Genomic DNA, 24,659 nt, shown 5'->3' with positions numbered 1-24,659 from the left:
CAAAGTGCTGGAATACAGGCAAGAGCCACTGCACCTGGCCAAGCTCTTTTAAAATCCAACTGATCATCCAAATATAGTCATGCATCACTTAAGAACAGGGATACATTCTGAGAAATGCATCTTTACGTGATTTCATCATTGTGAAAACAACAGGGCGTACTTATGCAAACCTCAATGGTAGAGCCTACTATACACCTAGGCTATGCATTGGGTGGTAGTGTTGTATCAATTCTGATTTCCTAACTAGGAGGACTACACGGTGGCAATACAGGAAAGTGTCCTTGTTTCAGGGAGGTACACACTAGAGAATTTAGAGTGGAAGGACATCATGCCATAAAGACAACAGAGGGTAATGGAGCAAATGTGACAAAATGTTAACTGGTGAATTTGGGAAAAGGGGATGTGGGAGGTGTAGTCTGATCCTGAACTTTTTTTTTTTTTGCTGGGCCCAGTGACTCATGCCTGTAATCCCAGCACTTTGGTAGGACAAGGCAGGAGGATCACTTGAGCCCAGGAGTTCAAGACCAGCCTAGGCAACATAGTGAGACCTTGTTTCTCTTTCTTTTTGAGACGGAGTCTTGCTCTGTCACCAGGCTGGAGTACAGTGGCACGATCTCGGCTCACTGCAACCTCCAACTACAAGGTTCAAGTGATTCTCCTGCTTCAGCTTCCCAAGTAGCTGGGATTACAGGCATGTGCCACCACACCCAGCTAATTTTTGTATTTTTAATAGACACAGGATTTCACTATGTTGGCCAGGATGGTCTCGATCTCCTGACCTCATGATCCACCCACCTCGGCCTCCCAAAGTGCTGGGATTACAGGTGTGAGCCACTGGACCTTGTCTCTAAAACAAATTTTTTTAATTAGCTGGACATTATGGCTCATGCCTATAGTCCCAGATACTGAGAAGGCTAAGGTGGGAGGATACCTCAAGCCCAGGAGGTCGAGGCTGCAGTGAACCATAATTATGCCATTACACTCCAACCTGGGTAGAAAAAAAACAATTTTTTTATGAAAATAAATAAATAAATAGGGGCCGGGCACGGTGGCTCACGCCTGTAATACCAGCACTTTGGGAGGCTGAGGCAGGCAGATCACTTGAGGTCAGGAGTTCAAGACCAGCCTGGCCAACATGGTGAAACCTTGTCTCTACTAAAAATACAAAAACTAGCTGGGCGTGGTAGCACACGCCTGTAATCCCAGCTACTCAGGAGGCTGAAGCACAAGAATAGCTTGAACCCGGGAGGCAGAGGTTGCAGTGAGCTGAGATCACGCCACTGCACTCCAGCCTGGGCAACAGAACGAGACTCCGTCTCAAAAAAAAAAGGCTGGGTGCAGTGGCTCACACCTGTAATCCCAGCACTTTGAGAGGCCGAGGCAGACAGATCACTTGAGCCCAGGAGTTCGAGACCAGCCTGGGCAACAGAGTGAGACCTTGTCTCTACAGAAAATACAAAAATTAGCCGAGTATGGTGGTGTGCGCCTGTAGTCCTAGCTACTTGGAAAGCTAAGATGGGAGGATCTCTTGAGCCCGGGAGGTTGAAGGGACACAGTAAGCAGTGATCACACCACTGCACTCCAGCATGGGTGACAAAGTGAGATCCTGTCTCAAGAAAAAAAAAAATACAGGAAGGAGAAAAGCAGATAGGCCATAACTGATGGTTGTTGGAGATGAACGAGAGGAACTTGGGATTCACTGACTATTGTGTCCACTTTTGTGTATGTTCAAAATTCCTGAGATAGAATTTTTAAGATATATAACACAAATTGATCATATAGTAATATATATGCTTCTTTACTAACACACCAAATAAAAGTATCTAGGCCAGGCGCAGTGGCTTATGACTGTAATCCCAGCACATTGTAAAGTCGAGGTGGGCGGATCACCTAAGATCAGGAGTTCAAGACCAGCCTAGCCAACATGGTGAAACCCCGTCTCTATTAAAAACACAAAAATTAGCTGGGCATGGTGGTGGGCGCCTGTAATTCCAGTTACTCGAGAAACTGAGGCAGGAGAATTGCTGGAACCTGGGAGGCAGAGGTTGCAGTGAGCCGAGATCATGCCATTGCACTCCAGCCTGGGTGACACAGCAAGACTCTGTCTCAAAAAAAAAAAAAAAAAAAAGTATCTGGCAGCAGATCTAACAGCCACTGTAATTTCCAAGTTGTGATGACAATAATGAAGTATTTGCAAAAACTGTAATATAAAATATGAAAATATATATGATTTGTATTGGTGACGAAAATCACAACTACTATTAGTTTTCTCTATATTATAGTTGAAGGAAATATTAGATCCCAGTAAGAAGTTACTAAAAATAAAGAGGTATTTTCCCACCCAAGTTTAGTACTTCCTCCTGAATTCTGATCGATGAGGTCTTCATTAAAGATTCTAACATCTGGCCGGGCACGGTGGCTCACACCTGTAATCCCAGCACTTTGGGAGGCCGAGGCGGGCGGATCCTGAGGTCAGGAGATCGAGACCATGCTGGCTAACATGGTGAAACCCCGTCTCTACTAAAAATACAAAAAAATTAGCCGGGTGTGGTGGCAGGTGCCTGTAATCCCAGCTATTTGGGAGGCTGACGCAGAATGGTGTGAACCCAGGAGGTGGAGCTTGCAGTGAGCCGAGATCACACCACTGCACTCCAGCCTGGGCAAGAGAGAGAAACTCCGTCTCAAAAAAAAAAAAAAAAAAAAGTTCTAGCATCCTTTTCACACAATAAAGTAATAAATTACTCTTTTATCTTTTAATCCAAGGACACTTTTAAATAATCTTGAATGCAAATGAGCCTTCACTGCAAACAGCATAATTTTTTTTTTTTCTCGAGACAGAGTCTTGCTCTGTCACCCAGGCTGGAGTGCAATGGCATGATCTTGGCTCACTGCACCCTCCACCTCCTGGGTTCAAGCGATTCTCCTGCCTCAGCCTCCCGAGTAGCTGGGATTATAGGTGCTTGCCACCATGCCAGGCTAATTTTTTGTATTTTTAGTAGAGATAGGGTTTCACCATGTTGGCCAGGCTCGTCTCAAACTCCTGACCTCATGATCCGCCCGCCCGCCTCAGCCTCCCAAAGTGCTGGGATTACAGGCATGAGCCACCGCACCCAGCTGCAAACAGTGTAATTTAAAAAAATTACTGGTTCAGACAAAATACTTCTACCTACCAATTTGATTGGTAAAAGACAAATCGCTATATGTTAAATATAGTTTTGTAAACTGCAAAATGTTTTTTGAGTACATAAGCCCCAGTTTTTAAATCAAAGGAAAAATAAATGATGTGTAAAAAAAAAATCACTTTTAGTCAATTTTAAGAATCAAAGAAACTATAAATGTATTATATGTAAAAGTACATACGTTATGTGTAACATAATGGGAATATAACAATCAAAGTCAATACAATGTATAATTAAAAGAATCTTCATATCATTTGGCAATGTTCCCTAGTGACCCAAACAGCATCTAATACAAAGACAGGCACATGCAACCCTTGCATTTAAGGCTGGACTAAAAATCTAGCACCAGGTACACAGGATAAGAAATAGTGTTTCTCATTTGAATTTTCCCACAAATCTTCCTTAATTCTAAGGATTGGAGCAGTTCCTTAAACTATATAATACAAATCTTTAAATATGCTAGAGTTCATTTCATTTCTATACTCAAAATGAAATCATAAGTAATTAAATCCAAGAATTCACTAAATTTAAGTTAGGATTTTATAGAGCCATTCCACTATGGTTTTTTTAGATGCTTGTAATCTTCAACTTGGCAGACAGGAATACATGTAGGGAGAACAATCTGAATATTGAGATACTTTAAAATTATATCCAAAAAATCTTTTCACTCACTGCAAAGCATATTTCCACACACTAAAAACCAGCTAGATATCACATAAAAATTACATGGTTTTGGCCGGTCGCGGTGGCTCACACCTATAATCCCAGCACTTTGGGAGGCCGAGGTGGGCAGATCACCTGAGGTTAAGAGTTCGAGACCAGCCTCAACACAGAGAAACCCCGTCTCTACTAAAAACACAAAATTAGCTGGGTGTGGTGGTGCATGCCTGTAATCCCAGCTACTTGGGAGGCTGAGGCAGAATTGCTTGAACCTGGGAGGCAGAGGTCGCGGTGAGCCGAGATAGCACCATTGCACTCCAGCCTGGGCAACAGGAGCGAAACTCCGTCTCAAAAACAAACAAAAAAAAACTACATGCTTTCTAATAAAATGATTAACATTCTAATTGGTTTCCACAGAGGAGTACACTATTTTCATTCAAAATATGTGTAGCTGTAAGGCAAGTAAAAATAATAAGTTTAAAGAAAAATTTAAACCAAATAGTAAAGAAGATTGTTAATTTAACTACAGATAAATGTACTTTATTTAGTCTCCTTGTTCAGCAGGCTAATATATGTGTTTCAAGGGGCTGAACAGCACTTATTTCAAATCATCTAATAACACAATTCAGGAGCCCAATTTAATGAATATATACACTCAAGGTATTTTCAGACTACATTATTTACTCTAAATACTGTGGATGGTTAACTACAGCTCAAACTAACACTAAAAATGTTTTAAAAATAAAAGCAAGCAGGCCGGGCATGGTGGCTGGCGCCTGTAATCCCAGCACTTTGGGAGGCAGAGGCAGGCAGATCACTCGAGGTCAGGAGTTCAAGACCAGCCTGGCCAACATGGTGAAACCCCAACTCTAATAAAAATACAAAAATTAGGCCAGGCGCAGTGCCTCATGCTTGTAATCCCAGCACTTTGGGAGGCCGAGGCGCACAAATCACGAGATCAGGAGTGAGACCAGCCTGGCCGACATAGTGAAACCCCGTCTCTACTAAAAATACAAAAATTAGCCTGGTGTGGTGGCAAGTGCCTGTAATCCCAGCTACTCGGGAGGCTAAAGCGGGAGAATCACTTGAACCGGGAAGGCAGAGGTTGCAGTGAGCTGAGACCATGCCACTGCACTCCAGCCCAGCCTGGGTGACAGAGTGAGACTCCGTCTCAAAAAAAAAAAAATACAAAAATTAGCCAGACATGGTGGTGTGCGCCTATAATCCCAGCTATTCAGGAGGCTGAGGCAGGAGAATCGCTTGAACCCAGGAGGAGGAGGTTGCAGTGAGCTGAGATCAAGCCACTGCACTCCAGCCTGGGTGACAGAGCAAGACTCTACCTCAAAAAATAAAAATAAAAATAAAAATAGGCCAGCACAGTGGCTCACACCTGTAATCCCAGCACTTTGGGAGGCTAAGGCAGGTGGGTCGCCTGAGGTCAGGAGTTCAAGACCAGCCTGGCCAACACAGTGACACCCTGTCTCTACTAAAAATACAAAAATTAGCCAGGCATGGTGGCACGGGCCTGTAGTCCCAGCTACTCAGGAGGCTATGGCACAAGAAGTGCTTGAACCCAGGAGGAGGTTGCAGTGAGCCAGGATCCTGCCACTGCACTCTAGCCTGGGTGACAGAGTGAGACTCCATCTCAAAAAAATGAATAAAAATAAAAATAAAAAAATAATGAAAATAAAAATAAAAGCAAAGGCTGGGCAAGCTGGCTCATGCCTATAATCCCAGCACTCTGGGAGGCCAAGGTGGGAGGATCACTTGAGCCCAGGAGTTCAAGACCAGGGCTGGGCAACATAGGGAGACCTTCCATCCCTATAAAAAATTAGTCGAGTGTGGTGGCACATACCTGTGGTTCTAGCTACTTTGCAGGCTGAGGTGGGAGGATCACTTGAGCTTGGGAGGTCAAGGCTGCATTGAGCCGTGATCCATCTTGGGTGACTCTGTCTCAATCAATCAGTCAGTCGATTAATAAAAGCAAAGAAATATATAGTCTCCAATTGGATATGCTGGTTTTCATGGAATATTTTCAATTTTTTAAAAATTTCAGTAAAATTTCAAACTAGGGGGAAAGGGAAACTTGAAAGACTATTTGGAAAAACCTCCTACATAAATTTTCCCAAAGGATTAGTGTTTACAGGATTTAAAATGTCCCATAAATCAAGCCTGAAACCTCTTCATAAGTATACCACACAATACAATCCCAGCAATCACGAGTCTGCAACAAAGGTAGTTAGAAAAAGGTGCCCTCCACACAAGCGAAACACTATCATTCTTCCTGGCAGTGAGCCCTATATTTTCCTCCAATCTGCCAGGGGCGTTCCTTTTGGGAAATAAAACCCATTTTATTATTTTTTATTATTTTGTATAATTATTCTGTATAATTTTTCTGTATTATTCTGTATTGCTTTATAATTATTCTGTGTAATTTTTAATGTTTTAAGATAACTCTGAATTTTTTGTTTTATTTTTAAAATGTGCAAAAGCCTATCATGCAAATAGATATTGGAAATCAGAATATTCAAAACCAGAGGTGGTTTCATAGACGGGATGGGGGTGGTATGGGTGGTATGGCCATAGACAAGAAGTGGTTTCATAGAAACCTTCTGGTCTCAAATGAAGAAGCGACGTAACAATGATACAGGCTACAGTGAGTCAAATTTGTTTAAGTCTAAAAATATCCCTAGTAGTCAGGAAAAGGAAATTCAATATTTTATATTGTGTCCCAGAGGTAAAGATATCTGAATATACATAAAATGTAATAGCTATTCCATCTATTTAACTCAGGAAAACCACTGTGATCAAACATTTTAAATCAGCAAAAACAAATTACATTTTTAAATGGGTCTCATTCTTTTTTTTTCCCCAGACGGAGTCTTGCTCTGTCCCCCAGGCTAGAGTGCAGTGGCACGATCTCAGCTCACTGAAACCTCCGCCTCCCAGGTTCAAGCAATTCCCCTGCCTCAGCCTCCCAAGTAGCTGGATCTACAGATGCACACCACCACACCTGGCTAATTTTTTGTATTTTAGTAGAGACGGGGTTTTACCATGTTCACCAAGCTGGTCTTGAACTCTTGACTTCGTGACCCGCCCGCCTCGGCCTCCCAAAGTGCTGGGATTATAAGCGTGAGCCACCGCACCCAGCCTCTTTAACAATATTTTTACACGAGGGGCTACCTCAGTTTACCTCCGCATAATCTTTAACCTAGTCTCTAAAACTGGAGATGGATGGGAAGAACTAAATTCGCAACTTACTTAAAATCTGAAAAGATAAAGATGTTAAATATTTTAAGGGTTTTATTCATTTGCTCATTCTAATTCAAGGAGTCGCCTTTGCAGACACCTCTCTCCCTCTCATAACTAAAAGACAGGAACCAATTGTATAACTCCTCCCTTCCCCCTTCAACCCAGCTAACATACAAAGGAAAGGACTTTCTCTATTGTGTCCCTGTAATGAATCTTTGTTAACTAAAACCCGATTCAGAAATAGTTCTCATTTAATTTTTTTAAATCCGCAAACTGAAAACTGTAAAAATAACAACAGATTTATTATTATTGCAAGAAAAGAAAAGCCAATTTTTGTAAATGTTCTGATTATGTTTTAAGGATTTGGTCTTTCTTTGGCACTGGGGAGGAAAAAGCCAAATCGCCATCCACCCCTCAATCTACTGTCCATTTAAAAACAAACAAACAAACAAAACTAATCAGAATGTAAATTTAAAAATAAATATAAAAATTTTTAAAGAACTGACTGACCTCTTTTTTCTGTTAAAATGTCTCTAAGCTGTCCCCAAAGCTGTCTGGTTTAATCTTTTTGTAAAATGCAAACACTTACTACAAAAGCCTAATCACTGTTAAGAGAACATTCATCTTGAAAACGTTTTATATAATGTATTCCCAGTGTACACCTCTTAATCCTGTAAAACAGTTATTAATGTAATCAGCTAGGGAAAAGGATAAGAGTAGGCACTTAAAGTTCAGTTTTAATATAGGTATTGCATGGTTTTTCTCATTCTGATTTGTACAAGACACCAGAAGTGAATACCATTTCATTTTCTTGCAGAGCCATCGTTCTGGTACAACTACCTTTTTATTCCTTTCACTTAAATTATTCAGATTTCACTTTTACTCCTAGTAGCAATCACACATTTTACAAAATATATCCCACAATAGGGATAAAAGGCCTTGAGTTCCTCCAAACAAGGTCCACTTAGCTCCACAGCTGGATCAGCAGGAACATTTCTTGTACATGCAGAAAGATAAACAAGAAACCAGAAATAGACATTACCTGGATTTTGGGGGGTGAGGGGAGGAAGTGTGGCAACTGGGAATTCCAGGGTCAGGGGTGGAGATTTTTCTCTGTATACCTTTCACATGCTTTGAACCCATAAAAATGTACTGTCTATTTAAACAACTAAATAGATTTGTTTAAAAATGAAAAAAAAAAACCTTTAAAATAAAAGAATTTCAGGGACACATGATCTGCTTAGTTTTAAAATAACCTGCTTTTATCAGTAGCATCTGCTTTTACTCTGCAATAGGTAAGATACTCCTTTGAATGCAGTCGTGAGCAAACTGCCAGCTAAGCCGTTTTTAATACAGTAATGTTCCTCCAGACTGCCGCTTTCCAAGGCAGCTCGAATCCTCCGCCCCCTCCTCCCTCTGTGCATTCTGAGATCGGCTCTGCTGATTCCCACATAAAGTGGGTCCTGGCCGCCATTTTAGAAAGTCATTCACACAAGCCAGACCGCAGCACCGTCCACTAAGAACCCTTCCAAAGCTGCCTGGGACGATTTCCTCTTTCTTCTCTCTGCCCCCTCATCTTGCAGAGGGGCCAAACTCCCAGCCATAAGCATGCAATGTCTCTGGAATCTGCATAATGAGAAATGACACGTCTAGGCACATAACACTGAGGAGCGAGCGAATGCTGCAATGCACGTGCTTGTACATCGGTGCATACGAATTTCCCAGGCAGAGACCTACAGAGAAAGTCCACAGGGGATTAAAGTGAGCACATCTAAGTGGTTTTTCCACTCCAATAATGTACACCTAAATGATTTTTCCATCAAAACACTGACGATACTCGAGGAGAAGCCAGGAGGTGGGGGGCGGGTAAGGGGTGGAGCAGCGCCAGGAAGAGAAAGTTCCCATCTGCTTCCCAATCCAGCCCGTGGTCTCCCCTTCATCCTAGGGCACAGAGGTGAATTTTTGCTCCCTGCCTCCCCCCGCCCCCGCCTGGTTTCTCAGGCACGACGTAGTAAACACCGGGAGAGTCCCTGGAAGCGCGCACCTCCCCCCGGCCTGCCGAGGACAGCTCAAGCAGGTTATGAATGGCCCCACGATTCCCGGCTCCTTTTCACACGCGGACACGCGCAGACGCGCGCTCCAGCGGCGAGGGTTTAATGCCCCAGTAACAGCAACCACCAACACAATCAATGATCCTCCATTTAAAAGACAGGAGCTCCGCCGCCGCTGCTTCCATTTCCTTATCCAAGCGGCTCAAAGCGAGCGACGCAATCTATTTTTCCCATGGTGACTCATTAATGAGGACGCTCCATAATTTCCTTCACTCACTACATAGTAAGGGAAATTAAAAGCCAAACTTAAAACCTTCCAGGGTCTTAAATATCGGAATAAACTGTCATTTTCGAGGACAACCACAGATTTGCTATGGTCCCTCTGAATCTGCACCAAGTCCAAGCCAATCGTCATTTTAATAAGTGTTTTATGCGGAGGCCTATCTGTTACGGTACACAGGCATTTCACAAAGAAAACGCACTACACGCTACTCAATAAGATGTATCAACGACAACATTTATTCTTATAATTCACAAAAATATTCAGGGGAGGTTTTTTTTTTAAGCTACATCTTCTCATCGTAAAAGGTTTGGAATGTTTTACCGTTTGATTCGGGAATTCAGGGGTGGGGGGCACCAGGGTCTTAGGGCGGCCTGGGAGTGCGACCCGAGGCTACGGGCGCCGGGGCTAGCAACCTCCTGTCAGACGCGGTCTCCTCCGCCGGGGACGAGGAAGCCCAAACGGGCGCACCAACTTATTTCACACCACTCTCCACCCAGCCCCGCAAAAACGAGAAACGTTTGCCATTCCCAGTGAGTTTCAAGGCTGCAAATCCTCCGGAGAGGTCCTAGATGGTCTCTCCGGGTCCGCGACGCGACCACAGTACCTACTGCGACTTCTGTTTTCGCACCGCCTTTCCCTTCGCACGGAACCCTCCCGAAGTCAGACATTGCCGAGCGCCCGCAGAGCAGCTTGGAGTGGCGGCGCCGGACCCGGCTGTCGGGCGGGCTCGGGTCCCGGCTGCTCCGGGCCGGGCACTGCGCGCAAGGACGCGACCCCGCCGCCCAGCGCATCTCCCACCGACTCCCGGGCTGACGCGAGGGCAGCCCCGGGGCGCCGGCTGCGTGGAGGCCGAGCCTCGGTCACCTCCCTCGTCACGGACGCGGCCGCCGGGGCCCCGCGGGCTCTTCGAAGGCGGCGCGGCTTGGCCGCCCGCACCGCCGACACCCGAGGCCCAACGCCGCGACGCGGGCCGAGCGGCTGACGAGGTCCCACAGCGCCCGTGGGTCCGGGCCGGAGTCCTCCTCACCAGCTCCGCGCTCCGGGAGGGGCCGGCAACGGGCCGGGGCGGGAAGCGGCGCCCGAGGAGCGAGCGCGGCCGCGGGCCTCGTGTCACTCACCGTTTGAAATGCTCGATGATCTTCTCTTCCCGCACGTTCTCGGGTAAGTTGCCCACCCAGAGATGCCTGGTTTCCCGGACCATGCTGGGCGGCGTGCCGGCGACCGCCGCTGCTGGCTCCCCCTCGCCGGCTTCGTACGAGACCGTCAGCGCCGGGAGGCGGGTGCCGGGGCGGCGGCGGCGGCGGCTGCGGCGGTGGCGTCGGCAGCGGCGGCGGCTCCTCCGGCTCCCCCCCGTGCAGAGACCATCCCTCTCCCCCAGGTTCTGACTCTCGGGCCTCGCAGCTCAGCTCTGCCGCCACCACACACCCGAAGCCGACCCTCGCGCTCCGGCAGCGCATGCGCCCGGGCAGGGGCGGGCGGGGGAGCGGGAGGAGGGGCGAGCGGGACACGGGCGGCAGCGACTACGACGGAGCTGGCGCTGTGGCAGCCGGACGCTTCCCACTGGCGCGCGCGGCCCGACTCCCGCCGCCGCACTGCCTCCCCCTCGCCGCGGGCGCGCGCGCGTCCTCCCGCCTGCCAAGGCGGAGAAGCTGAGTTCCTCCCAGCCGGCGCGCAGGCGCGCGGACCGGGCGACGAAGTGAGGGACTACAGGCGGGGAAGGAACGCTCGCGCGCTCGGCCCCGGTGCGCAGGCGCGCAGCTGCTAGTGGAGTCCCGCTGCTTGGCGGGCTCTCGGTCGGGTTCCCGCGCCGGGCAAGGGGCGGCTGAGGAAGCAGGAGCGGTCTTTAGCCCCTCCAGCGGCAACCCCAGGCCCCGGCCTGGTGGAAGATATGAAGAGAAATGCAATTGGTTTCCACAGGGCTACGGGTCAAAGCGGCTGCCAAGGCCTGTCCCCTAGAAGTCAGGACCCCTTCGTCCTCCGCTCACCTGGCGGCCAGCTCCTGGCGTTTCCGGACACTTAGATTCCTGCCTGCTTGGGAAAGCGATCAGAAAAAGGTTGCCCTTCTCACCGCTCTGCTGAACAGCGACGGCTTCAGAAACGCATCCCATCCAAGAGTCACTGGCTTGTAACATGAAGCAACTTTTTTTTTTTTAATACGGGGTCTCGCTCTGTTGCCCAGGCTGCTGGAGTGCAGTGGCACGGTCTCGGCTCACTGCAATCTCCGCCTCCCAGACTCAAGCGATTCTCCTGCCTCAGCCTCCCAAGTAGCTGGGATTACAAGCACCCGCAACCACACCTGGCTAATTTTTGTATTTTTATTAGAGACAGGGTTTCACCATGTAGGCCAGGCTGGTCTTGAACTCCTGACCTCAGGTGATCCGCCCGCCTCGGCCTCCTAAAGTACTGGGAGTACAGGCGGGAGTCACTGCACCTGGCCTAAGCAACTTTTTTATATAGAATCTTGCGAAACCGTTTGCAAGATACCCTTGCTGATCGCTGTGGTATAGAAGGAATAAAACGGAAATGAGACAGGAATCCAATATTGTTCCCCTCAGACCATAATTTAATATTTAAACAGAGAAAGGAATTAGACCTCTGGCCTTTCCAGGCCTAAGAGCTTTTGAAACCTACAGTTGAACTTTCTTTTTTTTTTTTTTTCCTTTGAGACGGAGTTTTGCTTTTGTTGCCCAGGCTGGAGTGCAATGGTGTGTTCTCGGCTTACTGCAACCTCTGTCTCCTGGGTTCAAGCGATTCTCCTGCTTCAGCCTCCTGAGTAGCTGGGATTACAGGCATGCGCCACCATGCCCGGCTAATTTTTGTATTTTTAGTAGAGACAGTTTCTCTGTGTTGGTCAAGCTGGCCTCGAACTCACAACCTCAGGTAATCCACCCGCCTCAAGCCTCCCAAAGTGCTGGGATTACAGGCTTGAGCCACCACGCCCAGCCTCTTTTTTTTTTTTTTTCCTGAGACCAAGTTTCACTCTTGTTAGCCAAGCTGGGGCACAATGGCGCTGTCTCAGCTCACTGCAACCTCCGCCTCCCAGGTTCAAGCGATTCTCCTGCGTCAGCCTTCCGAGTAGCTGGAATTACAGGCGCGCACCACCACACCAGGCTAGTTTTTTGTATTCTTAGTAAAGACGGGGTTTCACCATGTTGGCCAGGCTGGTCTTGAACTCCTGACCTCAGGTGATCTGCCCACCTTGGCCTCCCAAAGTGCTGGGATTACAGGCGTGAGCCACCATGCCCGGCCAGTTGAACTTTTATATAAAGGCCAATTTACAGAAATTCAAGGAAAACCCATAAAATTAAGGTAACTATATCGAGAGAAAAATAAAATTATTTATAATAAAAATACACAGAAATACCAGAGGTGTGCTGCTTCAGGTGCAAGCCAGATTTTTTTTTTTTTTTTTTTTTTTTTTTTGGAGACGCAGTCTCACTCTGTCACCAGGCTGGAGTGAAGTGGTACCATCTCTGCTTACTGCATCCTCCGTCTCCCGGGTTCAAGCAATTCTCCTGCCTCAGCCTCCCAAGTAGCTGGGACTACAGGCGCAAACCACCACGCCCAGGTAATTTTTTTACGTTTAGTAGAGGCGGGGTTTCACCATGCTATCCAGGATGGTTTCGATCTCTTGACCTGGTGATCTGCCCACCTCAGCCTTCCAAAGTGCTGGTATTACAGGCATGAACCACCAGCCCAGCCAATTTTAAATACTTGGCCTCATCGATTATCTCCTTAAATACAAACTAACTTACAAACGACACTATTTGAATTCGAAAATATTGTCACCAAAACCAATGGCACTAATATCTCAGGTCACCTATGCATAACTAAATTGTTTCTTTGTAGTCTCAGCTACTGGAGAGGCTAAGGCAGAAGCATCATCTGAGTCCAGGAGTTCCAAGCTGTAGTGCACTATGATTGTGCCTTGAAAAGCCCCAGCACTCCAGCCTCAGCAACATAGGAGAAACCCCTCTCTTAAAAAAAGAAAAAAAAAAGTAAAATTGGCTATTTACATCTGGCCATTTCTCTGTCACAATTATCACATAAGGAAAGTCAAGCTAACACCCTACTAACGAAACTCATGAACTATTCAGTACTGTGAACGTGGCTGCAGTTAGTCAACTGTTGAACTGATATGCATTTTTCTATGAAGCATGAATTTGAATACAAGCACCCAAGTTTGAAGCAAATTTTAAAATCTGATGTAAAATCTGATAGACTGAATTAGCTGAAACCTCTTGGGAAAGACCAGTGTCACCATGAAGAACAGTGTCACCTCAATTGTATTAAAAGGTGCAACTGACAAGAGGATTCAGAAAAGTGTCTCGCAATTAGAGAAATAAAAGGCATGTCTCGCCTTGAATGGAGGCTTCTGTTAAAATCATGATTTTAAAAAAAAAAAAAAAAGAGCCGGGTGCGGTGGCTCACGCCTATAATCCCAGCACTTTGGGAGGCTGAGATGGACGGATCACCTAAGGCCAGGGGATCAAGACCAGCCTGGCCAACGTGGTGAAACCTGGCCTCTACTAAAAATACAAAAATTAGCCTGGCGTGGTGGTGCTCACCTGTAATCCCAGCTACTCGAGAGGCTGAGGCAGGAGAATCACTTGAACCCGGGAGGCAGAGGTTACAGTGAGCCGAGATCGTGCCACTGCACTCCAGCCTGAGCGACAGAGTGAGACTCAGTCTCAAAAAAAAAAAAAAAAAAAAAAAACCATTTTCACCATTATAGCCAGGTCCTGTAGTCAAATCAGGATATAGTGATTGCATGTCAAGTATGAAGTTTCTTGCTTTTTTTTTTTTTTGGTTGACTGTTTCTATTGCAAAAGCTCTTAATAACAAAACTGATAAGTACATGCCCTTTGCTCAGCCCCAAATCAAGTTTTTGATTTTCTCAGTGCTTTTCATTTTTGCTGACAATGCATCAAAAAACACCAGAAAAGCTTTTCTCCATTTGTATTCCTGTTACAAAGCTTTACAGGGGCAGAACTTCTTTAAAGCATGTATCTTTGTTATGTTTTCAATAGAAAGGCAACCCACTCTGTTATTCTCTGATGTTTTTTTATTTAACAATAATTGATGCTCACTGAAAAAGATCAAAAAGTAGGTTGTGATTTATCTATGATAAACGGATGGTGAAGTGAATTTCCTCATTTGATTACTAAAGATAATTCAGAAAGCTGACATTAAAGCAGAGCCATTTGCAAAGTGGAATTAAAATAGATTTGTTTTTAATCAGGTTTTATTTTCACACTGTGAGGAGCTGCTGTATTTAGCATGCTAGACATGCTCAAAGAGTTCAGTCATGCGTAATGAAAGCTCAGATGGAAAAAGCGTCTGAGCCTCCAACTCAGGCTTTGAATGCTAACCCAGCCAGTAGAGTAGTAAAATAATATCTCCATTTAAACAGGACAGGATAGTTATCAGATTTTAACAAGAATTTGGTTACAAGTCAGGTCCCAAGCTATTAAAATTAAGCTGTTTCAGGAGAAAACATGCACTTAAAATATAAGCATTTTGGCCGGGCCTGGTGGCTCACGCCTGTAATCCCAGCACTCTGGGAGGCCGATCATAAGGTCAGGAGATCAAGACCATCCTGGCTAACACAGTGAAAACCCATCTCTACTAAAAATACAAAAAATTAGCCGGGCATGGTGGTATGCACCTGTAGTCTCAGCTACTCGGGAGGCTGAGGCAGGAGAATCGCTTGAACCCGGGAAGCAGAGGTTGCAGTGAGCCCAGATCACGCCACTGCACTCCAGCCTGGGCAACAGAGCGAGACTCTGTCTCAAAAAAAAAAAAAAGAAAAAAATATATATATATGCATTTCTTCTTTTTTTATTTTGAGACAGTCTTGCTCTGTTGCCCAGGCTGGAGTGCAGTGGCGTGATCTGGGGTCACTACAACCTCCACCTTCCAGGTTCAAGAGATTCTTGTGCTTCAGCCTCCTGAGTAGCTGGGACTACAGGTGCCTGCTACCACGCCCGGCTAATTTTTGTGTTTTTAGTAGAGATGGGTTTTCACCATGTTGGCCAGGCTGATCTCGAAACACTGACCTCAAGTGATCCACCTGCCTAGGCCTTCCAAAGTGCTGGGATTACAAGTGTGAGCCACTGCGCCCAGCCCAAAATATAAAAATAAAATAAAATATATATAAAATATAAAAAAAATTCTTCTTTTTTTCTTTTGAGATGGAGTCTTGCTCTGTCGCCCAGGCTGGAGTACAATGGTGCCACCTCAGCTCACTGCAACCTCCACCTCCCAGGTCCACACGATCCTCCCACCTCAGACTCCCTAGTAGCTAGGACTAAGGTGCACACCACCACACCCAGCTAATTTTTGTATTTTTAGTAGACACAGGATTTCACCATGTTGGCCAGGCTGGTCTGGAACTCCTGACCACAGGAGATCCACCTGCGTATTTCTTCTTAAAGGCATCATATAAAATATATAAAAGGCATCATATAAAATCATATAACTGGCCAGGCACAGTGACTCATGTCTGTAATCCTAGCACTTTGGGAGGCCGAGGCGGGTGGATCACAAGGTCAGGAGTTCAAGACCAGCTTGGTCAAGATGGTGAAACCCCATCTCTACTAAACATACAAAAAAATTAGCCAGGTGTGGTGGCGGGCGCTTAGAATCCCAGCTACTCGGGAGACTGAGACAGACAATTGCTTGAACCCAGGAGGCAGAGGTTGCAGTGAGCCAAGATCGTGCCAGTGCATTCCAGCCTGGACGACAGTGAGACTGCATCTCAAAAAATAAGTAAATAAAATAAAATAAAATAATATAATATTAACTAGCTATAAAATGAACAAAGCCCCAACCACATGAGAATTTGACAATACCAACAAACTCGTACTATTAGAACCAAATTTTTTCCCCAAAATAACAGAAAATAAAACGCAACACCACTGTAATATTATTAAAGGGTGTTTGATCTCGGCAGTGAGCCAAGATCGCGCCATTGCACTCCAGCCTGGGCAACGAGCGAAACTCCATCTCTAAATAAATAAATAAATAAATAAATTATCAGAACTCCAAAGAATTGAAAATATTAGCTAGCTAGTCCTCTAGTTCTTTTTTTTTTTTTTTTTTTTTTTTTTGAGACAGGGTCTCCCTCTGTCGCCCAGGCTGGAGTATAGTGGTGCAATCTTAGCTCACTGCAACCTCTGCCTCCCAGGCTCAAGCCATCCTCCCACCTAGTAGCAGAGTCTACAGGCGCACACCACCAGGCCCAGTTAATTGTTTTTGGTATTTTTTTGTAGAGGCGTCTCCATATTGCCCAGGCTGGTCTTGAACTCCCGAACTCAAGGGATCTGCCAGCCTTGGCCTCCCAAAGTGCTGGGGTTATAGGTGTGAGCCACTGCACCCAGCGCAGATCCATTCTTTAAGCAAGCTAATACTTTATAACAGAGCCAGGCACGGTTGGCTCACGCCTGTAACCCCAGCACTCTGGGAGGCCCAGACAGGTGGATCACCTGAGGTCAGGAGTTCCAGACTAGCCTGGCCAATATAGTGAAACCCCGTCTCTACTAAAAATACAAAAATTAGCTGGGCATGGTGGCATGCACCTGTAATCCCAGCTACTCAGGAGTCTTAGGCAGGAGAATCACTTGAACCTGGGAGGAAGAAGTTGCAGTGAGCCTGGGCAACAGAGTGGACTCCGATAAAAAAAAAAAACACTTCATATGGTACTTTACTGTTCAACCCTCTAAGAAAGCTAAATAATTTATTCCGTGTTATTTTTAGTTTTTCAGAAATGAATATACTGGCTGATATATTTTTAAATCAGTTCTTAAGTTTCTACCATTGTTTATTTCTGGAAAGTTGCTAAAAGTAACATTTTTCCCCCTGTGAGGAAATACTGGCAATATACTTAATACTAAGAATTACTAATGCAGTTTACCAATATTTGTGTAATTGAGTGGAAAATAGACTGGAAAGATATTTGCAAATGTTAATCATGGTTAATGCCTATGTGGTAGAATTTGAATTTTTTAAAAAAATTTTATTCCTGGCTGGGAGCAATGGCGCATGCCTGTAATCACAGTACTTTGGGAGGCTGAGGCCAGTGGATCACCTGAGGTCAGGAGTTCGAGACCAGCCTGGCCAACATGGTGAAACCCCGTCTCTACTAAAAATACAAAAATTAGGGCCGGGCGCGGTGGCTCACGCCTGTAATCCCAACACTTTGGGAGGCCAAGGTGGATAGAACACAAGGTCAAGAGTTTGAGACCAGCCTGGCCAATATGGGGAAACCCCGTCTCTAATAAGAATACAAAAATTAAGGCCGGGCACAGTGATTCACACCTGTAATCCCAGCTACTCGGGCGGCTGAGGCAGGAGAACTGCTTGAACCCAGGAGGCAGAGGTGGCAGTGAGCCAAGATCACACCACTGCACTGCAGCCTGGGCAACAGAGCAAGACTCTGTCTCTAAAAAAAAAAAAAAATTATCTGGGCAGGGTGGCGTGTACCTCTAATCCCAGCTACTTGGGAGGCTTAGGCAGGAGAATCGCTTGAACCCGGGAGGCAGAGGTTGCAGTGAGCTGAGATCATGCCACTGCACTCCAGCCTGGGTGACAGAGCAAGACTCCATCTCGAAAAAAAAAAAGAATACAAGTGCCTGGCACGGTGGCTCACACCTGTAATCCCAGCACTTTGGGAGGCCGAGACGAGCGGATCATGAGGTCAGGAGACAGAGACCATCCTGGCTAACACGGTGAAACCCCGTCTCTACTAAAAATACAAAAAATTAGCCGGGCTTGGTGGCGAGTTCCTGTAGTCTCAGCTACTCAGGAGGGTGAGGCAGGAGAATTGCTTGAACCTGGGAGGTGGAGGTTGCCATGAGCCGAGATCGCGCCACTGCACTCCAGCCTGGGCAACAGAGTAAGACTCCATCTCAAACAAAAAAAAAAATTAGCCGGGCATGGTGGTGGCCACCTGTGATCACAGCTACTTGGGAGGCTAAGGCAGGAGAATCACTTGAACCCGGCAGGCAGAGGTTGCAGTGAGCCGAGATCAAGCTACTGCACTCCAGCCTGGGCAAAAGAGTAAGACTCCATCAAAAAAAAAATTATTCCTCTATATTTTCTAAGTTTTTCTTTGGTTAACAGGTATTACTTTTATTTTATTATTCTTTGAGATCGGGTTGCTCTGTTTCCCAGGCTGGAGTGCAGTGGTGTGATCACCTTACTGCAGCCTCAACCTCCTGGGCTTAAGCAATCCTCCAGCCTTAGCCTCCTGAGTAGCTGGGACCACAGGCCCATGCCACCACACCCGGCTTTTTTTTTTTTGAGACCAGGTCTCACTCTGTCACCCAGGCTGGAGTACAGTGGTGCAATCTTGGCTCACTGCAATCTCCGCCTCCTGGGTTCAAGGGATTCTCCTGCCTCAGCCTCCTAAGTAGCTGGGACTACAGGCGCACACCACCACACCCAGCTAATTTTTGTATTTTTAGTAGAGACGGGGTTTCGCCATGTTGGCCAGGATGGTCTCAATCTCCTGACCTTGTGATCCTCCCGCCTCGGCCTCCCAAAGTGCTGGGATTACAGGCGTGAGCCACTGGGTGCGGCCCCCTAAGTTTTTGTCTTTTTTAAAAGAGATGGTGTCTGACCATATTGCCCAGGCTGGTCTGAAACTCCTGGTCTCAAGCAATCCTCCAGACTCAGCCTCCCAAAGTGCTGGGATTATAGAAGTGAGCCACCAAGCCCTGTCAGGTATTGCTTTTATAATCTGAAATTAAAAAGTTATAATAAAATGACTTGGGCCGCTCTCGGTGGCCCACACCTGTAATCCTAGCACTTTGGGAGGCGAAGGCAGGTGGATCACCTGAGGTAGGGAGTTCAAGACCAGCCTGACCAACATGGAGAAACTCCATCTCTACTAAAAATATAAAATTAGCCAGGCCTAGTGGTGCATGCCTATAATCCCAGCTACTCAGTAGGCTGAGGCAGGAGAATCGCTTGAACTTCGGAGGCAGAGATTGCAGTGAGCCAAAATTGCACCATTGTACTCTAGCCTAGGCAAGAAGAGCAAAACTGCGTCTCAAAACAATAAAAAATAAAATAAATGACTTTTGGAAGTCAGCATCTGGGTCACTTTAGCTAAGGGTTCCCCTGAAATGTTGATAGTTAACTGCATTAAATTACATATATATTAACAAATCCCACATGAACAAAATGTTATTACTCTCTATGTTAACTCAGATATTTTATTTAACTTTTTTTTTCTTTTTGAGAGAGTGTCATTCTTTCACTCCTGCTAGAGTGCAGGGGTAGGATCATAGCTCACTGCAACCTCAAACTCCTGGGCTCAAGGGATCCTCCCCCTCCAACCACCGGACTACAGGCGAATGCCATGGTGCCAGGCCCTCACTCAACCTTTTAAGACCCTACTGGTAATCTCCATTATTAAAAAGCTTAACTGTTTCACCATAAGTGATAATCACATTAGCCAAAACACCCAGGCCTAGGAGATTGTAACTTCTGTAACATCAAGACACAAGCAGAACGTAAATAACGCAAATCAAAACTTCTTTTTTCTTTTTTTGACGGAGTCTCCCCCCCGTCGCCCTGTCTGGCGTACAGCGTCGCGATCTCGGCTCCCTGCAACCTCCCCCTCCTGGGTTCAACCAATTCTCGTGCCTCAGCCTCCCGAGTAGCTGGGATTACAGGCACCGGCCACCACGCCTGGCTAAATTTTGTATTTTTAGCAGAGACGGGTTTTCACCGTGTTGGCCAGGCTGGTCTCAAACTCCTGACCTCAAGTGATCCCCTGCCTCAGCCTCCCAAAGTGCTGGGATTACAGGCGTGAGCCACCAAAACCGGCCAAGACTTCTGATTAATTCAGAGAAGGCTATCAAACTGCATTTGATGAAATCTCAAAAACAATACCAAATAAATTGTGTTTAGTAGCTTTTACATATGGATGGAAATTTTCAGCAGATTTGTTTGAAGCTCTTCTGCTGCTCCTCTCAGACACCTAGCTGTAGTTTGAAGTAAATAATTCAAACAGGCCTGGACCAGTGGGTCACACCTGTAACCCCAACACTTTGGGAGGCTGAGGTGGGAGGATCACTTGAGCCCAGGAGTTCCAGACCAGCTTGGACAACAAGGCAAGACCCTTGTCTCTACAAAAAATTTAAAAATTAGCCGGGTGTGGCGGTGCGCCTGCAGGTGGGCGAATCCATTGAGCCCAGGAGGTCGAGGCTACAGTGAGTTCTGTTCGTGCCACTGTACTCCAGCCTAGACGACACAGAGAGACTCTGTCTCTAAATAAATAAATAAATAAATCCATCTCCAGGATCCTATTAGACAGCACAAAAGAACTTTGATATGCCTATTTCAAATTATAAAACATACACGCCACAAATTTTCTTCCTCTTATTTAGTAGTCAGTGGTATCATTACCGTAGGAACGCCGATTTTAAAGACTCTATTAAGCATAAATTATGTTAAGACAGAATCTATAACAAATTCTACGAATTCAAGAGACAGTTAACCTGGTCATTTCCAAGCCTCAAATTACAGCCTTGTCAGAATTCTATTGCTTGCTGGTACTTCAACACCCTCTAGATAAGTTTCATATACTGAGTTCCTAGGAGGACTCTGACACCAACTCACAGTTCCCACCGGGCAATGAGCTCGCCCTTTGTTAGGGGCCACGGAGCGGCTCCGCCCAGCGCGCTGCCCCGGCCCGACCCCGGGCTGGCGCGGTCAGTGGTGCACGCGCACCCGCCCCAAGTCAGCACCTTCCGAGAGCCATAGGGTCGTCGCGCGGCTCACCCCGCGATTGCGGCGTCCACGCTGGCCTCTAAGAGCCCCCGATGTGCTTTCTTCTCGAAAAAGCTCCCTTTTTAAAGCCTTGCACCTACAGGGACTCGGGGGTGCGTCACAAGACAATACGTCTAGGGAGGCGGCTAGGCGGGAGGCAATTCGTCTAGGGAGACCGCGCAGGCGGGAGGCAGAGGCAAGCCGCCCGGGTTCCCCGAATTTTGCACGCGGGGGAAGTTCATTACACAAGAGGGTTTTTTTTCGTTTTGGTTTGGCTTTTTGTATTTTGAAGAACCCATAACCCTGGTAATAATTTCCACCACACCCCTAAAGGACAAGAATGAGGGGAGGCACTGAACGAAGAGGAAGTGCGGTCCACTATGGTTACCACCGCCCAGCTCAATTCGGCAGAGGGAGAAGCAGCTGCGGCCTAGGCCCTCTGCACCCACGCACCGAGGCCGAGGCCAGGGCCCGCCCCGCCGGCCTGAGTGGAGGACTGTGGCGGGCACTAGGAGCCCCACCCCGTTCCAATGAAAATGACACCTTTTAAAACCATTTTGATTTTTTTTTTTTTTTTAAAGGCCGGGCGTGGCGGCTCACACCTGTAATCTCAGCACTTTGGAAGGCCCTGGCGGAAGGATCTCTTGACGTCAGGACTTCCAAAACAGTTGGGCAACACAGCAAGACCCCGTTCCCAGGCTGGGGGCAAAGCCGGGCTCGGTGGCTCACGCCTGTAATTCCAGCACTTTGGGAGGCCGAGGTGGGCGGATCACCTGAGCTCAGGAGTTCGAGACCAGCCTGACCAACATGGTGAAACCCATCTCTACTAAACATACAAAAATTACCCGAGCGTATTGGCGGGCGCCTGTAGTCCCAGCTACATGGGAGGCTGAGGCAGGAGAATCGCTTGAACCCGGGAGGCGAAGGTTGCAGTGAGCCGAGACTGCGCCACTGCACTACAGCCTGGATGACAAGAGACTCCCGTCTCAAAAAAAAAAAAAAAAAGACACCTTTCTTTGGGCTTAGTGAGCAAACATTCTACGCAGTGCCTAATATAAGCCGGCCCAGGCACCACCCAAGCCTTCGGCCAGGACTGTTTTCCCGTTTCGAGAAGGCTCCATCACACTCCACACGGGATCCAGTCAACAGCCGTTCCAAACATGGCGCGGGAAGGGGTGGAAGACAAGCCAGCGCGACGCCGTCCAGCCTCATCCCCGGGGCACAAAGGGGAGACTAATCTCCAGGAAACTCGGGGTACAGAATCGATAACCCCACAAGAAACTAGTTTCCGCGAGTGGGCCTTAAGGAAAAAGTAGGTCGGGCACAAGCGAGCTGTTCAGACGCACTTCACAGCAAAGACTCGCGGACAACACAGCGAGACGAAAACGGCCCCGTGCGCAGGCGCGCGGAAACACGACTAGCGCGCTTCGGGACGACCCCTCCCCCTTCCCTCAAAGGCCAAGGAAGTGGCTCCGACGCGCTTGCGCGAGGACGGAATGTTGAGGGGAGGGGGAATTCTTTCCCTTCATTGTCAGAGAGAACCGCCCCCGCACGGCGAGCGCGCGCGCGCTCACGCACCACTCTCACACTCCGGCGCGCCAAAGGCTTTCCGCTTGGCGTCTCGCGCATGCGCGGAGGGGGAAGCAGTGGCGAAATTGGATGCTTTTTGCTGAGTTTCTCAGAGAAGTTTCTGGAAAGATGGAGCCAAAGGGACGCTGGGGGGTGGGGAGCGCCAGGAAGCAAGCGTTTGAAAGAAAGCGAAAAAACCCAAGCGCACCGCGACACCTCCAACCTTCAAGCCACGGCCCAAGCAGAGCCCAAGGCCACTGAGACCCTCACGCCAGAGAAAAAGCACAGGGACCGCGGCAGCCGCTCCTCCCTCTGCCACTGCTCAGCCCCCGAGACTCCCCAGCACGGGGAGAGGGCAGGGGGTAGCCATGAGAAACCTAGAGCGCTCACTGGACTTTTGCGAGGTGGAAGGAAAGCCGAAACCCGCCCTTTGGAGCCGCCTGTGCGCACGGGCCCCGTCGAGTGGGCTCAGTACGTTAGGACTCAGCGTGGCCGCCAAAGCATTGGTTGGGGGCGTCTTTCACTAATTTTTCCTAGGTTTTCTCTTCTATCGGGCTCTGTGGTCCTTTCACCACCCATCTTCACTTTGGTGGCCTGACGCTAACGCTGCGAGTTGGGGAAACCGTAGTAACCCCGGGCCTGAGGGGCGTCCCGGGCGGCGGTGCTCCGTTTCTTCCAGCGGTTGCCCCTTTAAGAAAAAGCCCCCCGGAGAGGGGCCCGTGTGGCTGAGTAAAGGTGGCGTGCGCCCGCACAAAGGCGCCGCGTTGTTGGCGGGCTCCGGACCCTGTTGCCCCTGGGCGGGGCGGCGTGGGAAGACCGGGGCGCCTGGGCGGGGAGAACGACGTTGGCGCTAGCGGGGCAGGGCAGGGGGAGGGAGTCACGGGATTTAGCAGGTGCTTCTCCGCGACCGAGCGACTGCCATTTTGTGGTGCGGCCGCCGCCATTTCGCGCGGCCGAGGGGCGGGGTGTGGGCGGAGCGGCGGGCGCGCCCGGGCTGTCCCTCGGGGCGGCGGGCTAACGCGGCCGCTTTGTTCTTCGCTTCTCGGCTCGAGGCCCCAGTCTCGACCGCCGACCGCCTCGGAACCGGGCTGCATCCGAGCTGCCACGCGGCGTGTGAACCTTGAAGCGCGGCCGGGGAATCCGCAAGGCGCCGACTCTCTTCCTCCTTGCAAGCCCTTCGAAAGTGAGATTTCTCACCCCACCCTTGCAGGGTGGAGAGAACACGTTTCAAAAAGGGGATGCCTAGAACTCAGCCGTGGGAAGTGCCTGTCTAAAGCCTTGTGCTGGTGCCAGTAGCAAACCCGTGCGCGTGCTCGGCTTTGAGCGATCATGGAGCTCTGCAAATAGCTCAACTGCAGAGCGTGCCCCTTAGAGCTCCTGTGCTGCTGGGAGGCCTCATAAAGGTGCCAAAACCAGGTGTCCCCAGCGGTTGGCCTCTTTAAAAAGAAAAAAAAAAAAAGGCGGAGTGGGATGTCCTTGACGTGCTGAAAGACGGAGTAGAATGAGACGTTGGTTTTCATTGGCTGGCCATTAAGCACGCACTGCGCAACTGTTTTCCAGATACGGGTTTATAGCCCATTATTTATATCGGAGCCATAAACTTGAACAATAGATTGGAATATCTTATTTTTGCCTGTTGAGAATATCTCCCATTTAACTTCTTTTGAAAGTTCAGATGAGTATATAAATAATACATTGACCCAGTAGAATCTATTGTGTGCGTTCCAGCGTCATTTCAAAGAGCTATTGTTTTTCTGATTTCAAAAGAAATATTTAAATGTGAGTCTTTGTGTTTTAATGTTAACCTTGTGGTTCGAAATCAACAAAGCCAGGAAATTCAAGAGAACTGCTGCTAAATTTGTCTTCTTCCTTTGCTTTCGTACA

At 47.7% G+C, this 24,659-nt stretch overlaps 1 protein-coding gene and 1 long non-coding RNA gene across 2 annotated transcripts in view, besides 17 other annotated features; one reads left to right on the top strand and one right to left on the bottom strand.

Annotated features, from left to right (window-relative positions):
- Window positions 1-10,987, bottom strand: part of SPEN (spen family transcriptional repressor) — a 92,750-nt gene extending 81,763 nt beyond the window's left edge. The window contains exon 1 of the mRNA NM_015001.3: window positions 10,544-10,987. Coding sequence (NP_055816.2) covers window positions 10,544-10,626 — 83 coding nt within the window. The 5' untranslated portion in view covers window positions 10,627-10,987. The remainder of the gene's footprint in view (window positions 1-10,543) is intronic.
- Window positions 6,366-6,435: an enhancer, noted in NCBI's record as "active region_250". NCBI's record gives its function as "activates an Ori minimal core promoter by ATAC-STARR-seq in GM12878 lymphoblastoid cells {active_cell/tissue: GM12878}" and the evidence as "EXISTENCE:reporter gene assay evidence [ECO:0000049][PMID:35858748]".
- Window positions 8,815-9,409: an enhancer, noted in NCBI's record as "H3K27ac hESC enhancer chr1:16175780-16176374 (GRCh37/hg19 assembly coordinates)". NCBI's record gives its function as "activates a minimal SCP1, AML or CMV promoter by ChIP-STARR-seq in naive H9 embryonic stem cells {active_cell/tissue: H9 hESC(naive)}" and the evidence as "EXISTENCE:reporter gene assay evidence [ECO:0000049][PMID:30033119]".
- Window positions 10,081-10,500: a silencer, noted in NCBI's record as "silent region_317". NCBI's record gives its function as "represses an Ori minimal core promoter by ATAC-STARR-seq in GM12878 lymphoblastoid cells {active_cell/tissue: GM12878}" and the evidence as "EXISTENCE:reporter gene assay evidence [ECO:0000049][PMID:35858748]".
- On the top strand, window positions 10,547-24,479 carry SPEN-AS1 (SPEN antisense RNA 1). Its single transcript, NR_024279.1, has 2 exons — window positions 10,547-10,586; window positions 21,788-24,479. It is a non-coding gene; the product is annotated as an SPEN antisense RNA 1 (long non-coding RNA).
- Window positions 10,681-11,250: a silencer, noted in NCBI's record as "silent region_316". NCBI's record gives its function as "represses an Ori minimal core promoter by ATAC-STARR-seq in GM12878 lymphoblastoid cells {active_cell/tissue: GM12878}" and the evidence as "EXISTENCE:reporter gene assay evidence [ECO:0000049][PMID:35858748]".
- Window positions 10,681-11,344: a biological region, named in NCBI's record as "H3K27ac hESC enhancer GRCh37_chr1:16173845-16174356".
- Window positions 10,833-11,344: an enhancer, noted in NCBI's record as "H3K27ac hESC enhancer chr1:16173845-16174356 (GRCh37/hg19 assembly coordinates)". NCBI's record gives its function as "activates a minimal SCP1, AML or CMV promoter by ChIP-STARR-seq in naive H9 embryonic stem cells {active_cell/tissue: H9 hESC(naive)}" and the evidence as "EXISTENCE:reporter gene assay evidence [ECO:0000049][PMID:30033119]".
- Window positions 11,345-11,857: an enhancer, noted in NCBI's record as "H3K27ac hESC enhancer chr1:16173332-16173844 (GRCh37/hg19 assembly coordinates)". NCBI's record gives its function as "activates a minimal SCP1, AML or CMV promoter by ChIP-STARR-seq in naive H9 embryonic stem cells {active_cell/tissue: H9 hESC(naive)}" and the evidence as "EXISTENCE:reporter gene assay evidence [ECO:0000049][PMID:30033119]".
- Window positions 13,737-13,836: an enhancer, noted in NCBI's record as "active region_249". NCBI's record gives its function as "activates an Ori minimal core promoter by ATAC-STARR-seq in GM12878 lymphoblastoid cells {active_cell/tissue: GM12878}" and the evidence as "EXISTENCE:reporter gene assay evidence [ECO:0000049][PMID:35858748]".
- Window positions 14,067-14,136: a silencer, noted in NCBI's record as "silent region_315". NCBI's record gives its function as "represses an Ori minimal core promoter by ATAC-STARR-seq in GM12878 lymphoblastoid cells {active_cell/tissue: GM12878}" and the evidence as "EXISTENCE:reporter gene assay evidence [ECO:0000049][PMID:35858748]".
- Window positions 21,056-21,125: a silencer, noted in NCBI's record as "silent region_314". NCBI's record gives its function as "represses an Ori minimal core promoter by ATAC-STARR-seq in GM12878 lymphoblastoid cells {active_cell/tissue: GM12878}" and the evidence as "EXISTENCE:reporter gene assay evidence [ECO:0000049][PMID:35858748]".
- Window positions 21,146-21,440: a silencer, noted in NCBI's record as "tiled region #11658; HepG2 Repressive DNase matched - State 18:Pol2, and K562 Repressive non-DNase unmatched - State 6:EnhF". NCBI's record gives its function as "represses a minimal TATA promoter and a strong SV40 promoter by Sharpr-MPRA in HepG2 and K562 cells {active_cell/tissue: HepG2 | K562}" and the evidence as "EXISTENCE:reporter gene assay evidence [ECO:0000049][PMID:27701403]".
- Window positions 22,526-22,575: an enhancer, noted in NCBI's record as "active region_248". NCBI's record gives its function as "activates an Ori minimal core promoter by ATAC-STARR-seq in GM12878 lymphoblastoid cells {active_cell/tissue: GM12878}" and the evidence as "EXISTENCE:reporter gene assay evidence [ECO:0000049][PMID:35858748]".
- Window positions 22,721-23,706: an enhancer, noted in NCBI's record as "NANOG-H3K27ac-H3K4me1 hESC enhancer chr1:16161483-16162468 (GRCh37/hg19 assembly coordinates)". NCBI's record gives its function as "activates a minimal SCP1, AML or CMV promoter by ChIP-STARR-seq in naive and primed H9 embryonic stem cells {active_cell/tissue: H9 hESC(naive and primed)}" and the evidence as "EXISTENCE:reporter gene assay evidence [ECO:0000049][PMID:30033119]".
- Window positions 22,721-23,825: a biological region, named in NCBI's record as "NANOG-H3K27ac-H3K4me1 hESC enhancer GRCh37_chr1:16161483-16162468".
- Window positions 22,806-22,855: an enhancer, noted in NCBI's record as "active region_247". NCBI's record gives its function as "activates an Ori minimal core promoter by ATAC-STARR-seq in GM12878 lymphoblastoid cells {active_cell/tissue: GM12878}" and the evidence as "EXISTENCE:reporter gene assay evidence [ECO:0000049][PMID:35858748]".
- Window positions 23,046-23,155: an enhancer, noted in NCBI's record as "active region_246". NCBI's record gives its function as "activates an Ori minimal core promoter by ATAC-STARR-seq in GM12878 lymphoblastoid cells {active_cell/tissue: GM12878}" and the evidence as "EXISTENCE:reporter gene assay evidence [ECO:0000049][PMID:35858748]".
- Window positions 23,596-23,825: a silencer, noted in NCBI's record as "silent region_313". NCBI's record gives its function as "represses an Ori minimal core promoter by ATAC-STARR-seq in GM12878 lymphoblastoid cells {active_cell/tissue: GM12878}" and the evidence as "EXISTENCE:reporter gene assay evidence [ECO:0000049][PMID:35858748]".
- Window positions 24,480-24,659: the final 180 nt, after the last annotated feature.

Source organism: Homo sapiens, chromosome 1, assembly GCF_000001405.40.
Source record: "Homo sapiens chromosome 1, GRCh38.p14 Primary Assembly".
NCBI lineage: Eukaryota > Metazoa > Chordata > Mammalia > Primates > Hominidae > Homo > Homo sapiens.
Note: the sequence above shows the minus strand (reverse complement) of the source record. Positions and strands in the feature narration are given on the sequence as shown.